This window comes from Homo sapiens, chromosome 12, assembly GCF_000001405.40.
Source record: "Homo sapiens chromosome 12, GRCh38.p14 Primary Assembly".
NCBI lineage: Eukaryota > Metazoa > Chordata > Mammalia > Primates > Hominidae > Homo > Homo sapiens.
Genome location: NC_000012.12, coordinates 78,193,987 through 78,213,259, shown reverse-complemented (window position 1 = coordinate 78,213,259; position 19,273 = coordinate 78,193,987). Strand labels below are relative to the sequence as shown.

General features: G+C 34.2%; 1 protein-coding gene across 31 annotated transcripts in view; it reads right to left on the bottom strand.

The window, feature by feature from the left end:
• Positions 1-249: 249 nt before the first annotated feature.
• The window catches only part of NAV3 (neuron navigator 3), a 641,149-nt gene continuing 622,125 nt past the window's right edge, over positions 250-19,273 (bottom strand). For all 31 annotated transcript variants that reach the window (XM_017020166.3, XM_047429817.1, XM_047429823.1 and 28 more), the window contains 6 exons: positions 15,859-16,013; positions 14,584-14,655; positions 13,729-13,925; positions 12,669-12,787; positions 8,122-8,325; positions 250-2,862 (listed from right to left, as the gene is read on the bottom strand). In XM_017020166.3, coding sequence (XP_016875655.1) covers positions 2,743-2,862; positions 8,122-8,325; positions 12,669-12,787; positions 13,729-13,925; positions 14,584-14,655; positions 15,859-16,013 — 867 coding nt within the window. In that variant the 3' untranslated portion in view covers positions 250-2,742. The remainder of the gene's footprint in view (positions 2,863-8,121; positions 8,326-12,668; positions 12,788-13,728; positions 13,926-14,583; positions 14,656-15,858; positions 16,014-19,273) is intronic.

Here is a 19,273-nt window from a genome sequence, read left to right as displayed (position 1 = left end):
ACTTTATCATCGGCTATTTAGGAAAACTATTCAGAGTTTTCTAAAATATTCACTAAATAACTATCATTGAAAAAGATAAACTGATTACCTTTATTTACTTGAAAGCTGAAGCCCTTTTTATGTTTATAAAATAGAAATTTGCATACAGTCCTATTGATGGCATATTAATAGTGCAAGCAACATTTTAAAGCTTGACACTTCTTGATGCAAAATTATTCATTTTTTTCCATAAATAGAAACCACACCATGTTGTCAATAAATAATTCCACTTTAATGGCAAAGTAATAATTTAGACAGATACAGGGTGCACATTTGCAAAAAAATATATGCAAGCTGGTTTACAAGCTAGAGGAACAATAAACCAATAGAAAATACATCATCCAGTTAAGTCCATTGACACCAAGTACTTATTGTTGGGGCTTTACAAAGACTACAAAACTTTTCAGATGATTTATTTCACTGTTTCTGCCTATTTACATGATATGTTACATCAAAATGTACAAAATATAAAATGTATACAGACAAATGTTTCACAAACTAGTTTAAGTTGTAAACTAGGTGGACCTACTGGGATGTATTGCAGGAAATTCTGTTTATGCTCATGTTTGGACTGTGTTTCTCAAAATGGCAGGGAAAGATTAGCAATTTTCTTAGATCACATATTATACAAGGGAAACTAGTCACTCATCCAGCTACATATATTGATGTTTCACAACAGATTTGATCCATGTTTGAGGCTTCAAAGTCAGGGTGACAATTCTATGTGCATAAATTCAGTTCGGATTTCCCTTAGGGCAATAGCACCGTGTAAGGACCTATTGACTTTGTGACACTCTGAAAACTGCACAGATGTTTCGTGGTGTTGTTGTTCTATAGCAACTGACCCATTGGTGGTCACAGAGAGTAGCACCAAATACACGTCCTAAAAGTAACACATTTTCACACACTCATAGAAGAAGTCTATACCATGGCCTAGCCCTTGGGTTTCATAAACTTAAAACCTGTCCTTTGTGTGTGGTGGTAACTTCTCCAATGACTGATCAGTTTTCATGCACTCTCTTTAAAGCCTGCCATGACAGATGTACTTTCAGACAGTTTTACTTATCCAAAAATATATTGGCTTCATGTACAGTTTTGAAGCATGCTCACTCTAGCACTGATAGCTCCTGCATAGTCAAAAACAACTGTAAATACAGGACAAACACACCAGATAATACAGCTTTGAGGGTTTGCATTCTGTATTTGTTTGCAATGTACAGGAAATCTCAGCAAGTGAAACACCTCTTAACACCAACAGGATAAAATACAATTTTGTTTGTGTTTGTTTTGATTTGTGCAAGTTTTAAAAATTATTATTTACAATACCTACCCAGTAGACTGTGCAAATCTAACCTTCTTTTACAGTATAAACGCTTCCTCTTCCACAGTGACCTTACCGCTTCAGTGTTCTTTAATGCTGAATTTCTCATGTACAACAATAGCAATCAAAACAACATGCGTCAAAACTCATTAAAAAAACAAAAACAATAGGGAAGGAAAGCCGAATAGTTGTGCTCATGCTGCATCTAGTGCTTCCAGCCCTGCTGGATAATAATTCAAAATCTTCTGCCTTCTGAAACTCTTTCACTTAGAACTGGATGGAATTTCGCCACATGTCTTAGGTTTTAAGTGACGGTCAAAGAGCATTTCTGGGTTATTTTAATATTTTGGAGGATAGGCAAAGCGATCTATTCACAAGGCTAAAAATACTGATCTTTCTCCTATCCATTTCTTCAAAAAAAAAAAAAAGAGAAAGATATATAGAGATGAGGCTACTATGTTAACTGGTGTTGCTTGGTTGTAAATGAAAAGACAGTGGAAATTACCAATGGTTTAGGATTTAAACCAACTGTTAAACTGTCATAGAAATCTGTTTTAAGGCAGTGAGACAGCACCATAGGAAATGTTCCTTCTTTCACTGAAAAGGCTCAAACAAATAAAGCCCTAAAAAAGCCTTTTATCAGTGTTGACTAATAATTGGTATAAAACTCTTGTTAAGGGAGTGGGCAGGTGGTTTAAAAAGACCACTGTGGTAAAAACAACCTTATAAAACCAGTGACTCATATACTAAAAAGTTGGTGGAGCACATCATGAGAACGTGGCAGTTAGAATTAAATTGGCACTTCTCCAGTTTGCCACAGTAGTGTTTTTCTGGTGGTTGCACAATTCCATTTGTGCTTATGGAGGACTGGCCTCTTGGATTTGTTCTGGAATGGGGTGAGCGCACAACACAAACACTACTGAAGCCCTGTGACCAGCACCGTGTGGCACAAAGGAGGTTGGACAGATCAGAAAGATGGACCCTGCCTGGGGCGAACAGCCCCTCAGAGGAAACAAAAGGAAGGGACAAAAAATGGTCTGCATTGTAAACTTTTAAAGAGGAAACAAAGAAAGTCCAGTTTGGCTATCCCATGTGCAATCTGTTCAGTTGCCCTGTCATTAGGGTCCTTTCCAGTTGAGTAATGGAGCTTTCTATTACTCCACAGATATAAAAAATGCTTAGAAATAAACTAAAGTTAAGCTTCCATTGCAATTTAGCATCTTGGCGGTTCAGACTTAGTTCTGCTGCCTCCTTGGAGACCACAACTCTGGGTCAGGGCCCTTGACAGGGTGCTTTTATACTGGCAGTGGTTTAGTGAAAATACCTTTCTTTTGAAACATTTTTTTAAAAGCAAAGTCTTTTCCCTTAACTTTTTTCACCCTCTAGAGGGTAGATTCAAGAGATGAATCCAAAATGTCTTCATGGTGGCTGGTGCTTTCGCTGTCGCAGCTTTGTGTGCTCGAGTAATTGGCTGCTTCTTGGAGTTTCATTAGCATATTCATCTGAAGAAAGAAAAAAGACATCGATGTAGGCAATGATGCATTGAGTAAGCCAGCCCATAAAAAACAAGGCCCTGAGCCACACCGAAGAGCTATCTTATCCCATCCAAGTAACAGGGGAAAATAATTTTAGATTTTTACTCGTTGCCCCTGGCTCCTATGCTGTTTCTCCCAAACATGACTACAACACCAAACCATAAGGACAAAATAGGGCCTCTGGATAACTCTTTTATTTGGGGTTGTGAATGAATACTGCTCCAGCAGGGAGACTGGAAAGGAAACTGTATCACAGCTGGACATCTGGGTTCGTTGCTGGAAAGTACGCCAAGCTTCCCAGCTTTTTGGCTGGGAGAAGCAGAAAGCATTGAATGGCAACTGAAAGTCGTGAATGTTCATACACACACAGACGCACACAGAGGCACACACGCACTGTCCCTTGAGAGAAGGAGGGTATGGAGAGGAATGAAGCCAGCTGCTGCACACAAGCACACCATCTGCTGTTTAGGAGCTGACCTCGGGAGGAGGTGACTGAATGAAGCAGACCATGAGTGTTTGAAGAGGGAGAAGGAAAGAATTACTGTCAAGTTTGTGTTGTTAAATTTCTGGCTAAAATATGATTGATACATCACTGAAAACAAAAACTATCATCTGGAACAATAGTGGCTGTCTCAAGTTTCCCAGCCTTATAGGAGAATGGTAATGTTTGTTCTAGTAAAAGGGACATATGCATGAAAGCACCTGGGGAGAAAGGCAGCTAGCATTTCCATGTATTATAAAATAAAGAGCAGTCACATTGCTTGAATTTTGATAGATCTGGAGCTCCACTGTTAGAGATGGACTTTTTTTTTTTTTTCGGAAAAAAAGTGTTTAAAGGCAAATTGTGAATAAATGGTTCAATGATTTTAGAAAGCACAGAAAAATTGGCACATGTCTTTACAAGGGTAGTGGACTTGTTTTCATATCAAGGGTTTTTATAAATTGTAACAATTTTTATATTACCTAATGCATACTAATTTTATTATTCTATAATCAAAAGTTTTTTTTTTCCAACTTACAGAAATAGAAAGGAGAAATCTAAAAAACGATTCCTTGGTCATATGTTAAGCTATGCATGCTTGTGTGCTCTTTACAGAAAGTGTGCTTGATAAATGCTTGTGAAATAAATGATAAACTGGTAATCACCAATTTCAGCAAGAATTCCTTTCTGACAAAGAGACTACAGTTACAGCATAATTTGAAATCATTTTAATAGTCTCAGGAAAATATGTTTTAACCTAATTTTCAATCTGACTCTCCTAATTTATTAAATAAGCTACATAAGGTTATGAAATAAAAGTAGTAGGTGATAACTTTTTAAACCCAGTAAGCCAAAAAGTCAAATGTCTCCTTCAACATAGTTTCTTTCTCTCCCACTCTCCTCTCTCTTTCTCTGTCACCCACACCCCTACCTTCCTACTTTCATGTCCATTCATATTCCTTCTCCCATTTCTTTTATCTATCTGTCACTCATTAGCAGCTGCCTGTATGTTCAAGCATTTGGGTGAAACTGATCTGTAAAATAAAACTGAGTTTTGAGCACCCTAGTGATTTAGTAAGAGTAGAAATGATAAATGATATCTTTTAAAAAAGATACAGTTGTATCTTAGGCACAAATGTTTGAAATCACTTGAATGCTGGATGTTGTAAAAGTTTCACTGTGTAATAGTATTGTTATTAAAGTCTTAATTTTTTAAAATGGTGTCATATAGTAAATATGTTCCATTATAATACATTCCACATCTCAGATTCATAATAAATGTATACGTGGGATTTACTTTGCCTTTGCCTAGTATTATTTTGTGCATTCAAATCAAGGGAGTTTACAAGAGAAGATTACGTATGATTTAGTCATTATCGTGATACATCACAATTCTCCAAAAAGTATTAATATTTTTCCTCTCTTCTTCCCCACTTCTTCCCCACACTCACTGCTATGGTTTGCGTGTGATATATCACTTCCGAAACTCTTGTCGAAATTTTATCCCCATTGTGGCAGTGTTGGGATGTGAGTCGTAGTGGGAGGTGTTGAATCATGGGGGTGGATTCCTCATGAACAGATTAATGGCATTCTGGTTAGGGGTCAGTGAGTTCTCACTCTGGAGGGAATGGATTAGTTCATGTGCGAGAGCAGGTTATTAAAGAGTCTTGCTTCTTTTCTCACCATGTGACCTCTCTGCACACTCCCACTCCTCTTCCACTTTCCACCGTAAGTTCATGCAGCATGAGGCTCTCACCAGATGCAGCTGCCCAATCCTAGACTTTTCAACCACCAGAACGATGAGCCAAATGAATCTCTTTTCTTTACAAATTGCCCAGCCTCAAATAGTCTGTTATAGCAACACTAAATGGAATAGGGCATCTATAGCCATAAATTTAATGTTTATCATTTCTAACACCTTGATCAAGTCCTTATCATCACTGGTACCATCTAATCTGCTAAGCTTCCAGATTCCATCCTATCTCCTTCAGTCTGTCCTCTCTCTACTCTGTTATTAAAGTGATCTTTAGAAACTGCAGATCTAACTAGGTAAATCATGGCTCAAACACCTTTGACAGTTCTCCACTGTCTCTGTGATAACGTTTTAACTTCCTGCAATGATAAACAAGGCTTAGCATGATCTAGCAATTGTATACTTCCACAGTTTTAATTCCTACCACCAACTGGTGTATAGTTCCCTAAACTCATCATTTCTATTACACTGTCCTCTAATGTTTCACATTCTATTTCTTTAATTTTGGATGTTCTCCCTGCAACCATATGGTGAACTCCTATTAATCATTCAAGATCCAGCTCAAGCATCTCCTCTGTAAAGCTTTATTCTAACTGCTTCCTCAATGAACTCACAATTTTACTTAATATGTGCCTCTATTATGTTACTGCAGTTCATATAGGTAGAAGTCTCTCTTCACTACTGGATTTTAAGCTTCTTGAGATCAGAAATGATACTGTAGTTATCTCCTGATCACCAGGTCTTAGCATTAAGGACATACTTATTAACATTCTCTTTGTTGTTAATGGTGAATACACATTGTATTTTTAAAATAATGTGAGATATACCAAAAACTTGCATCCTCATTCAGATTCAAAAAGTCTCTCTCCTCTCTTCTTCCCTGTTTCTTTGCTACACTCATTGCTATGGGGATTTCTGACACTAAATAGTGGATGTTTCTTGACACTAAATAGTGGATATTTTGTAGGATTTCTGATTTAGAATGGACTGAAAATATATGTTGGCTTCATGCTAGTAATTACAAAAATACATAGAAATAAAAACAGATAGATCGTCACCAGTCTGATCAACATAGAGAAACCCCGTCTCTATTAAAAATACAAAATTAGCCAGGCATGGTGGTGCATGACTGTAATCCCAGCTACTCTGGAGGCTGAGGCAGGAGAATTGCTTGAACTCGGGGGGCGGAGGTTGTGGTGAGCCAAGATCGTGCCATTGCCCTACAGCCTAGGCAACGAGAATGAAACTCTGTCTCAAAAAAAAAAAAAAAAAAAAAGTAAGAAAGAAAGAAAAAAGATAGAAATATTTATTTTTTTAAAACCAGAGAAAGCCTGCCAAATATTTAGTTTTAGATGACGTCTTTTACCATTTAGCATGTAAGACCTCATAACTCCCTGTTTCTTAAGATGTTTAATAGAGCAGCAGGTTAGGAACCAGGAAATTTTTTTACCCCAATTCTCATGCCAGAAGGGAAAACCTTGAATTTGTTTCCTCTACTAGAAGACAAGTGCATTCAGAACCAGGAAAAAAAGTGCTTTATGGGGTGAGCTGAGCTGGACTATGAGAATTGGGAAAGTTGTGGGCATTTCCTAAGGGTTTCATACTCTACAGACTAAAACTGAGAACAAATCTTATAAACACCTCTCCTTATAAAACAGACATATTATATAAAAACTGCAGAGGTAGGACTGGAATTTTTGAGGAATTCAGATTAAATAATCCATACTCATATTCTAAAGCTTATATTTACTCTGTTAATCATTCTATCAGCAATTATTTAGTATATGCTCACAATTATGCTGAATCCAAACCAATTTCATCAGCACTGTTGATTCCTAACTATGAATCATCTAAAAGGCCAGGTACCATGTTATAAAAATATAAGTCTGGGCTCTTAAGGAAGATATCGCCTAGATCAGAAATCAGCAGGAAATCCCTGGAATCTAAGTAGGTCTATATATATACTTCAGTGATTTTATGAAACTCTTAAAATTGTATGCCAAATTTTCAGTGTGTATGCATTTTGCTGGGTAAAGGATCTTGAAAGTTTATCAGGTTTTCCACAAGAAACTCCCAAAATGTTCAGCTGAGATGATGATGATGATGATGTGTGTGTCAGGGTTGTTGGTGTAAGGGTATTCCTTAAAATATCAAGTAATTTTATATCCTTAGGTATAGCCATAGGTTATGATTTTTAATTATTTATGTTTTGTCTTAGTTTGATTTAAGCAACATAATGAATTTTTATTTCAGTATCTTTTCTTTCTGTACTGGTTGTAAAAGTCCAATAAGCTCTATACTCATAGAATGGTGAGTTAGTAACACTTCACATTTGATACCAATATATTGAAAGTAATCTGTAAAAATAAAAATAGATATATAAAAAGTGTTTTTTTTCCTAATAATACTACATACTTAAAATTTTCAGAATATTCATACTTTGGAGTTTTACAGACTTTTATTTCAATTATTCCACTATTTTAGAAAGTAAATAAACCATAACTTCCATTTGACTTCCAAGTCAGTTTATCCTTTGCTACAGTAGGCAAGAGAAGACCCATTCTATAAAATTAGTCAGGTTAGTTGATATAGGCAAAATATTTTTTAGTTCTCCATGAGTACATTATACCATAACTTTTGTTTTTCTATTTAAGAAAAAAATTGAGTTTTCTCTTAAATGCCTATTGAATTGAGTCATAATATAGAAAATTATATTTATTTAATTATATACACAATTTAATGCATAATAAGAGAAACATTATAGTCTAGGAGTTCATTCTGGTTGTAGCATTTCTTGATTTCTTTTTAAGCATACAAGTTTGGTTTTCACTTTAAGATTTTCATCCATGGAAAGCAGGCCAAAGATAATAGGGTTAAAACTGTTCCAAATGTTGCTTAGGATAACAAATGTCTTCGCTAGAAATAACTAAATATTAATGACTATACACTGTAGTCAAGATTACATAGGAAGAAATGAACATCTGATTCTTACCAGGGGATCTCCTTCTGTGTCAGTTTGCGGAATGTGCTTTGAGGTTGTGGCTTCCTTAGTGGATGTGCAGCTTTCATACCCAACATCTTCTGGTCGCAGCTGAAGTAAGGCTGGGCTCTCCTGAGGCAGAGTTGCTGAGCTCCATGGATATGTGTCAAGCACCCACTTTGAAGGATCTTCCCATGGTGTGCGTTTCCCATACATCTAAAAGTTGACCACGCGTTTAGGATATATATAAAATGCATTTCTATTCAGCAAAAAAGGGGACTGCTAGTTGGATGTGATTTTTTGACATATTGAGTTCTTAAGGGACTTTCAAGAGAATTAAGTATCTGTATACAGTTTTGCAGATTTAAAACATGTATCTGTCTACATAGCTCACTTTAAACTTGAAGGCTAGACAAAATGAAGCTGAATATTTGGAATAGATGTCAACTTTTGGGGGAGAATATACGGGAGGTTTATTATAAATAAACATAGAAATGACTGCCCACATTTACTAGTAATTTGACAAACCAAGAGAAAACTAAAGGTTGAAAAATAAAAGCTTCAATTATGGAAGATTTTAAAAAATATGCTTGATATTAAGTAGAGTTCTCTACTAAAGTGTACCTTGGAAAGATGGAAATAAAATAAAAGTAACTTATTTTTCTCTGCCTAATTCACTCTACTCAAACTGTCTTTTAGAGTAGGAAAACTTTCTCTGATAACAATTTTCCTGTGATCAACTTGCTCTTTAATCCCATTGCTTTCTGTAAAAACTCTTTTTTATCTTATTTTATTATTATACCTTAAGTTTTAGGGTACATGTGCACAACGTGCAGGATTGTTACATATGTATACATGTGCCATGTTGGTGTGCTGCACCCATTAACTCGTCATTTTGCATTAGGTGTATCTCCTAATGCTATCCCTCCCCCCTCCGCCCCACCCCACAACAGTCCCCGGAGTGTGATGTTCCCCTTCCTGTGTCCATGTGTTCTCATTGTTCAATTCCCACCTATGAGTGAGAACATGCGGTGTTTGGAAAAACTCTTTTTAGATGTTTGTGTTTCAGGCCACTAGTAAAAGAGGATAAAAAATAGGAAACTGAATTATCAACTTTGCAAGAACCCTTATTGTGCAATTTGCCCAATAAGTAAGAGCTGATATAGCCTGGTTAAAGTACTGGCAGTGGAATGGAAGAATCAGATAAATCCAAGAGATGTTAAACATTTTTAAGCTGCAAGCAAAGCTGAACCCAAACTAGAAAGGGCAGCCTGAAGAGAAGAATGAGACATTGTGAAAAAAAAAAAAAAGTATAATATTACAAGGGCACAGAAAAAAAGTGAAAATTAAGAGAAGGGGGCAGTAACATAGGGACACTTTTTCCTTAAATTACTTTCCCTCCCCATTTGACTTGCTTTACCAAGGACAATCCTGGTTAGTAGGTGCCTATTTGGTCTCAGATGACATACTTTGGTTTGTTGTTAGATGGCTGTTTTGTATAGTTTGTTTTGGTTCAGTAAAGACAAAAGGGAAAATGGTGGACATTAACACCATAAAAACTTCATGGACTGCCTTGGAGTTTTCTTTTGAGTTTCTTCTGGAGAAGTTGGACTTACCTAAAATAAAAGGGAGTCTAGGTACTGATATCTGTGCATTTCCTTAGGAGATGGTAACAGAGGTACAATCATTATACTTTTTTTAAAAATAGTTATCTTGTTTTAGAGCAAAAGTTTCCTCTCAGTTACAAACTTACTTTATAGATGTAACATATAGCATGCTACACAACTTAAACCAATTGAAGAAAAACATGTATAATTCTTGGAAAGCTTAATTATGTTTGTTTGTTTTAATGTAAGTCTAGAATCAATTAATTCTAGGTTTTTAAAGAACCATCCAGGACAGCAAAATTGGAAGAGACCAGTGAAAAGCTAAATGGGCCAAACACTATATTTCCGAGTGAAACACATATTGTAGAAAAAATAATTGAACAAAGAGAACTCTAAATATTCAGAATGAGATGAATTGATAGCTGACTAGTTAAGAAAGAATCCACCAGAAAAAAATCAAAATCCATTGTATCACCAACATTTTTTCCAACTAAAACATCTGGCAGAGTGCATTCCCCATAAGGTTTTTCACCAAAAAAATCCGCCTTCATCTGAAGATATTATTTTATTACTCTAAACTTAAGAGTGTCATTTTTGCTACCAGGCTTTGTTTCTCCACTTCTTTCTCCAATCCAAGATTCTTTGTTGCCAGTAAATCCATGGGAATGGATCACGACAGATATAATTCCTTTGCTTCTTGCTCCCCTAGAAATATTTTCAGCTGATAGACTTTTCTGGCCCAGCATAGTCTTCAATAGCAATGAAAACTGTCTACCCACAAAAGGACTTTCCAATTTTTCCCTTCCCATGTGCTGGATTCCCCTCCCCCAAAAAGCCCTAAATCACGGTTGATTCATCTTTCACACTAACCTACTTCTAAACATCCTGAACCATAGCAAGAAATGAGACATTTTTATCCCTCTTCAAAAATAATTTTGAAATATCTCTCAGTTTTAGTTTGAGAAACTAATCCTTAAGTGATTATACTTTTGCCCAAATGGAAACTTCATAGAATTATAATTCTCCAAATAATGTTCTATAAATAATATTAATTTAAATATGAAAAAAGAACCCATGTACCTTTTGAAATAAGACCTAAGGATGCTAAGCATTTTAACTATTATCATTTCAAGGTTTTTACAAAGATTCCTTTGCTTTCTATTAGTAAACAAATATTAAATGAGGAGAATTTTATTTATAAATACTTAGATAATGGTTTATTAAAACCAAAACCATAGCTAGAGAACAAATAATGTATCGAAATATTAACTTCAAAATTATGAGTTCTAAAATTTTCATAAAATGATTTTTTTTGGTACAAATAATCAACATTGAAAGATCCAATGTATATCCTATAGTAGTTTTCTAAGAATTCTGAAACACAATATGTTATACTTGAAAAATAAAAACATCTGTATAAGCTTTTATTTTATTGGAGGCTTCTGCTTGGGGTAGATTGGCTCATACCTTTAAAAGTGTTAAATTTGGTTATTTAAATCTAGAGTAGAACCAATCAATAGCATTATTTAGGATCTTAGCTTTATCTCTGAGGCTTCAGAGTATCCTCATAAAATTCATCATGTTCACCAGAACTATCATTTTAGTTCCAAATACTGCCATGCCATTCAATAGATAAAGAGAGCCTGACAGTAAAAGGGAGTAAAAGAGGGAAAAATAGATGGACAATTTTTTTAGATAGCAAAATAAAGACAACACACTATTGTAGATGACTGAATGTGGAAAACATAAACTATATCTTAATTCTAATAGTAGTTGTAAAAACCAGAAATAGAGATGTCTTGGCTGAGTTACTGAAAAGGAGATGAGATCCTTCCTCAATAAATTGGGTGATTATGTTACACAGATTTTAAAGAGTTTTATAATTCTACAATTTCAAATCAAACTTAAGGAAATAGCAATACTTATGGAAAAATGACATGTATTTTGTTGGAGAAGTAGGGATTTTTTTTAGTGATACATTTTCATCTTTTAGTTAGGAAAAAATAGAAGGGCCTTGGTTGCAGGGCCTCAAGATAGAAGGCACATGAAAGGAAGAGCAAAGATGCTGTGAAACCAATCTGTCATAGATCAAAAGACCAACTGACTCTCTTAGAATTTAGAGTACTCTCTCCAAAATAGTAAAGGATCCTGCAAGTGACATTAAAGGGCTTCCAACAATGAAGTATACTAAAAACAGGAAACTTACAAGCAAAAGCTACTTGTCAAAAATTATGTGAAAAAAAGGAAAAAGCAATTCCAGCCTGAGCAACCTAGCGAGACCATGTCTCTAAAATAATAATAATAACAATACAAATAACTGAGTGTGGTGGTGTGTGCCTATACTCCCACCTACTTGGAAAGCCTCATCACTGGAGCCCAAAAGTTCGAGGCTGCAGTGAGCCATGGTTCTACCACTGCGCACTAGCCTGAGTGACAGAGTGAGACCCTGTCTCAAAAAAAAAAAAAAAAAAGAAGGAGAAGAAACAAAGAAAGAAAGAGAGAGAGAGAAAGAGAGAGAGTGGGGAGGGGGAGAGGGAGGGAGGGAGGGAGTGAGGAAGGAAGGAGAAAGAAAAGAAGAAAAAGATAAAGGAAATTATGTGATAAGAATATAAATGGTCAAGGCTCATGTAAACATGGCTGTGTCATAAGATGTAGAACTGTGCAATTAACTAGCTGTCTAATAAAAACAACCTGTAAACATCCATGACAACCATTTGGACTTAAATGTATAGTTGTTGAAATAACTGTGCCTTTTCTTTCTCTTACAAATTTGTTCTCAGAACAGGCAAAATATTACAAACTATTTGCTCTTGAAAACCTTATTGCTCTATTCATATAGTTCATGCCTTTAGTTTTCTGCATAAATACCCAGATATTTTTTTTTGCTTTTAAAGTAATTTTTTTTGCTTTTTTTTTTTAAAAAAAAATAGCAATGAAAATTGAGTACTATACCTGAAGACCCTCTCTCACTGCCTCCAGAATATAAGGTACTAAAGAATAGTTCCAGAGATCCATGAACCATACTCTAGAACCTTCTACATCCATGGGGCAAGGAAGGAATAGTCGGGGACCTGATAAGAAATAAATAACAAAATATTTTAAGAGTTATATTTAATAATCTAAACACATATCTAGACACCATTTTGGAATATAATATATTTCTTGCAAAATTCCTAGAAAATTGTATTATTGGCCAGCTTGATTATTATTAAAGCATGTTTACTGAAGACCCAATATCCTAGCCTATTCTATCTTTTTACAATAAATATTAATCTAGGGCACAATATACTAGAGTCAGGAGAAATGATAAAAGTCATAATGCAGTTATCCTGTTTCATTTTACAAGCAATAAAGCTGTGCTGAAATGAATTGCCAAATATAAAACACGTCATTATTTGCAGAATTGGGACCTGGCATGAGTGTTCTGGTCCCAGTGTAGAATTCTTCTTCCTAATCTAAACTGTGTTGACAGTGAGTACATTTTTATGATGCATAACAATGTGAAAGAGACTTCTGTACATGCAATTAAAGAAGGAATAAAAATGTAAATATCTTTATGCAAACTAAAAGAGAAATAACTCAAAACAGTTTTGTCTTCATGAAAAACACAAAACACTTAAATTATCTACAAAGCGTTTAAGTTATCTGTAACTAACATCTTTCCTCACAACTTTATTTGACATGAGCTATTTAGCCAAATTTGTTTTTAGCATAAAAAGTATCCTAAATCGATACTATTCATTTCCAGTGGTTATCTGATTTTTAGATATTTGCCCATATTGAACTTATCTGATCTCGGTAATATTTTAGTAAAACATAACTGTCAAGACAAAATGGATTTAATTGGAGATACAAAGAAGAAGAACGCAAACTTTCAGAAGGGAAAAAAATAAATCTTTGGAAGCTTGAATAAGCATTAGCTTTGCTTGTTATTTTCTACCATCCAATCTGGCCGTCTTTACCAAGCACTGTTAGTTCCTGGAAAATGGCATATTATAATTTTGGAACTCACCAATGGTAACGTCAGAAGAACTGTGTGTTTCCAAAAAACTGTTGAGATGATGCCACGTCTTCGGAATCCAATCTATAATTTTGACTAGGTCATTATTGCGAATGTTCCTTTCAATTTCTATCTCTATGAGTTTTCTTCGAAGATATCTGCCTAAAAAGCCTTTCACTGGTTCTGTATGATTTGCACATAATACCCACCTACAAAAAGAAAAAAAATCAGACATTTTTATATAAATTAAATTTTACATTCACAGTGATTCTTTATCATTATTATTTATTTATTCATTATTACTTTCCAATAGAAAGTAATAATGTTCCCATTTCAATTGGTGGCCACCTTTTCATGATCAAAGGTGTTAGGAGGTCTACTAGGATGAGAGCTATAATGTAGCTAACTCTACTTTTTGAGCTAAAAAGAAGCTCATGTGCGTCAGAAGTGAGTGGGAGTCTAAATGCTGATCACTCTTCTGTAGGAGAATCACAAATCCTGAAATAGCAACTCTCTTCACATTTCTCACACTTAGAAGGAATATGCTCTACTTTAACCAGGGACATAGTGAACAGAAAAAACATCTACTTTACTTTTCTTTTTTCTTTCCTTTTTTTTTTTTTTTGTTTTTGTTTAAAGAAACACATCTGATTACAGGTTGAAGATCACAAAACGTTGGCTTGAGAAAGAGTGTCAGAAGTGAGAATTATTTTCACACCACAGGTCATCTCTGGCAAGATTTGTCAAAGTACAAATGGAAAAACAAACCACAAAAACAAACAGGAAGAAACAATGCCAACCCCCTCCCCTGCCCCCCCCAACACAAAACAAAAAAACAAAACAAAAAAACCTTCAACTTAACTTTACCTGAAATTGTGATGCAGCTCTAGATTTGGTGATGAAGAAACTCCCTGATTCATTGTTCCAATAATATATGGACTAGAAAAAAATAAATAGAAAATTTTAATTTACTGGAGGTAAAAGTGATTAATTCATTAAAATTATCTTGGAAAACTACTAGGATAGATATGGATTATTCCATTTCAATATTTGTCTTTTAAAGGGTAATTCTGTAATGGAAAATGACAAAGATCACTGGACTAGAAATTGATACTTGAGTTTCTAATTCCAGTTCTGGAATCAAGGCAAGGCATTTTCTCTCTCCGAGCCTGAGTTTATTTGTAATTTACAGTATTTGAGTAAAGAGTTTAGTTAGTATAATCATAGGGGTTTTGTCCCACTCTAACATCTTATAATGCTTATGATAAAATTTATTAACTTTTACTATTTTAATATTTCATAGTTATGTTAAAGAATATTAATATTGTGAGAAAATTTGTATTCTTTCATTCCTTATTTTATGCTGATCGTTTGTAACTTCCAAAAATCTCTAGCAGAGATAATTGGAATATTTGACACTATTAAAACTATTTATTTTATGTTGATATTCTTATATGTCCTTTCTTTAGAGGCCATGCCACAATGAATCTTTAGTGGGTTTTAAGATTTTTTAATACCTTACTTTAACCTTTCCTTTTATTGTAAATAGTTAAAAATCATACTCATTAATAGAGGGAGCTATATCTGAATATATTAAGTTTATCTCTATAGAAAGGTTGAATTTAAACTTTAATATGAACTGAGAATGAAACCAGAGCTCTAAAGGCTCCAGTTAGTTTTTAATTTTCCTGATTAAAACTATTCCAACGTTGTTGTTGGTTTCGCAAATGTTCATCATGTCTGCAGAAGCTAACATCATCAAGGAAGTAATGTTTCCATAAGAGTGCCTGGGATATGGTTGTTGAATGAATACATAGATATTCTAAGGAATGCATATGGAGTCTTTAAAACTGTGGTATAATATTAAAGAGGGTTTCTCAAATTAATGACAGCCATTGTAAGTCTAAAAATAATAACTACTGAGGTAGTTCACATGTTAATTAGCTGGAGTTAATCATTCTACAGTGTACATTTACTTCAAAACATCATGGTGTACACAATCAATATGTACAGTTTTATCTGTCAATTTAAAAAATAAAAATTAAATATTAAACAAATTTTAAAAATGCATACAGGTACAAGAAGGCAAATTTGATGATAATTATTTCATATTTCATTATTCAGAATATTTGATAAGCATACCATTTGTTGTATTTACAATTGAGAAAACCATTGAAGATATCACTCAGAGAGCCCACATGATGAAGATTATCAAGAATTATTACAACTGGGAGCTCCACTCCATTATTATCAGCACTGCACTGTTCAGCCAGGTTAGCTAGATATTGTTGCAATTCCTTTTAAAAAATGAAGAAAACAGATACGTCAGTGATAAATTTATACTAATAGGAAGCAGTTAATATTTTAGGAATAGCACTCTTTGTCCTCTATTCCGTTTCTTTCATTAAAGTCATAGATTATTCAACTGATGTAAAATCTTTTCCTACAAATCAAAAACCATATATTGCTGACAGAATAATTTTTTTAAATGAAAGCAAGAAAAAGGAAAGCAATAGAAGATCCAGTACCAAACACCTGCAGCAAATATAAAAGTATAAACATGACGGCATATTTCTAAGTGGTTTTCTCCCTGAAAGAAAAGCCAAAATGAGTTCTGGATATGAACTCTTATGATAAACCACATATATTGAGATTTTATTCTGAGTTTTGGTATTCAATGATAAAAGTAAATTTTAGCAACCTTAATATTTCAAGTATGAACTAAATTCAAAATGGCATTTCTCAGGTTCCACTAATATTTTTAATGTGTTAATTCTAATTCAGGTAGATGGGGTATATCTAAAAGTACAGCCATAGGACCTTGATAAAAGTATGCTTATTATTTATTTATAATCTGCATGCAATTGCTGTAATTTTAAACAAAGACAAAATTTAGCATCTCCTGAGTTTATTGGTTCTTTTACAGGTATTATTCCTGTCTAATAGCTTTTAATCTAAATATGATAACCAGTTTGCTGATTGACTGCTCTCACAGATGGGTAGGCCAGGAACATAATTAGGTTTCTTAAAATTATCCTAATCAGTAAGAACATTTCCATAATATTTGCATATTTACAATGACATTTTCAATTTGCAAATCGTGCTCAGGGTTATAAAACAATTCCATGATTTTGGTTTCTGGCAGCCAGGTAAATATGTGAATTGCTCACTCTAGATGCAACCTCTCTCTGTCTGTAACACCACTGCTGGAAATAAAAGTAGGAGATAAAACAACGGGCCAGGATTTTGAGGCATTTAGTAATTTTTATTTATGTTCAAATATAAAAATGTATTAAGGAAATAAAGTACTATTTGTTTTCTATTGAGCTAATCACATAAAATAAATCTTGCCTAAGTCAGAGAATGCAGAAAAAAATATGTTTAAAACTGTTGAATATTCTGGAGAATTCTATTTACTTCAAAAGAAAAAATAAAATTTATGTCACTAATTTAGCTACATTAAGTCATTCATTCGTTTATAAAATATGCACTGTCTATCTACTGCGTTCATAGCCTTAGACCAAGCCCTGGGTATACAAAAATAGTGAAGTCTGATTCCTGCTATCAATGGAGTTTAAGTAGGTTTAACATTTATTATGAACTGCATCAAGTACTTTTCCGGACATGAGGACTAAAAAGGGTAATCAGGCTGGTTTCCCCTGCAAGCTCTAAGAGTTGTCACATTAGGGACTGGAATTTAAATGTTACAAATGATATCAATATAATATCATAAATATATTATGAGATATGAGAAGTCAAGGGAAGAGATTTAGCCTAGCTGCTGGGTGTCAAGAATGGTTTTCTGGAGGAGGTAACACTGGAGCCTGAGTGGGGTGGTAGGCACACATGTAAATAATGATGAATTTACAAAATGCAAGGTAAAACATTCCATGAGAGAGGATAAAGGAGGCATGTGGCCTATAGGAGGGAAAGAGATTAATTCCAACTGGCACATCCTGCTGGCACCAGGGATTTAGAGATAAAACATAATTTCTGTCTTTCAGAAACTTAGAGTTGATAAGCAGAGAAGCTGGTGAGCAAGTGATTCACAATACAGTGTGCTAAGTGAAATGCACAAAACATTATAGGGAGACATAAGAGAGGCATCTAATCCAGACTTAAGGTTCACAGAAAAACAGAGTACAGTGGTTAAAAGGGAAAAAAAAGCAAATAATAATAATAATAATAAAAAGGATTGAAATCTAAAGAATAAAAAGTGAAACCTGAAAAGTGTAAGTGTATGATGTGTTTTGGGAAATAAGTGTTCTGTGGTTATAGAAAAATATAGTACATGCTACTGGTGGTGGCAATAAAAAAGAAAAAAAGACTTTGAATCCATGCAGAAGAAGTTGCATTTTATTATATAAAGAAGTGTGGAACATTGATATGTTTGTTTGCTTCTTTGTTTTCAGTAGAGGAAAGCAATTTATTTATCCAAGGAAACAGAAATGTGAAAGATAGAAGAATTAATTAGAAAAGGAAATAGCATTTAAGAAGCTTATTACCTTCCTGGAATAGAAGGTCAGGCATATACATATATAACAATAATTCACAGTCAAAATAATACACTACTTCAAAAAAGTATAGATCAAAGATTTTGTTTATAGTATGTAAAGATTGATTGTAGCGTCTGGAAAATGTACTGTGGTGGCAGTATGATTTGCTATTATTCCCTTATTTTAAAGATTGGGTAATACCTTGATGCTTAAACACAACAGAAGAGCTTTCCAAATAGAGAAGAATAACCAGTCAGAAACACGAAAATATGATATCCATGTAGGAAAAAAGCTAAGAATATGTGTTTTGTGAAAGGAAATGGTGGTAATGAAATTGTAAAGGAAACTGCAACCTTAAATGATTAGTAAGATCGCTGGACATCTCCTTTTGGCAGTGAAGAAACATTCTTCTGGTGACCTGAGTAAGTAGTCACAATGGTGATTTAACATGTGGTGAGCATATTGAAAGGAAGAAGCAAGACCAGCCAAGAGAATGTTGAAATTATTGAAGCCTAGAGATACTAAGGGACTGAACAAGGAACAACGTGATGTTTTTGATGTAGTACAGAAATCTATAAGAAAACATTGAAAAATTTGATCAGATTTTAATTATGAAAAGATATTCTATGTTCCATGAGGTGAATGAATATATCCCAAAAAAAGAGAGAAGGGAAATTTAAAGGAAATCGTGTATCAAGTAGTTAAAAAATAATTGTAGAAATCCAAGAAACAACAGAGGAGGATGTTAATCTGGGGTGGAGGGTGGTTTTGTTGGAAAGCAATGGAAGAGGATAAACTTATAATATGTGTTTGGGGCTGAAATTGTCAATTCTCAACAGGTATATTTAGTAGGTGAATAGAAACATATGTGTAGGATGATAGAAAGCTTACAAATTTGGGAGAATGGGCATGGCTGATAGTGTTTAATTGAAGTCAACCACACAAGTCAAGCCAAGTTGAAGCCACAAGAGTCATCCAAAGGAGAATAAAAGTGAGAGAGAACAGAATAGTTCATTATAAAGAAAAACAGTTTCATTTACTGGGAAGTGAAGGAAGAGCAG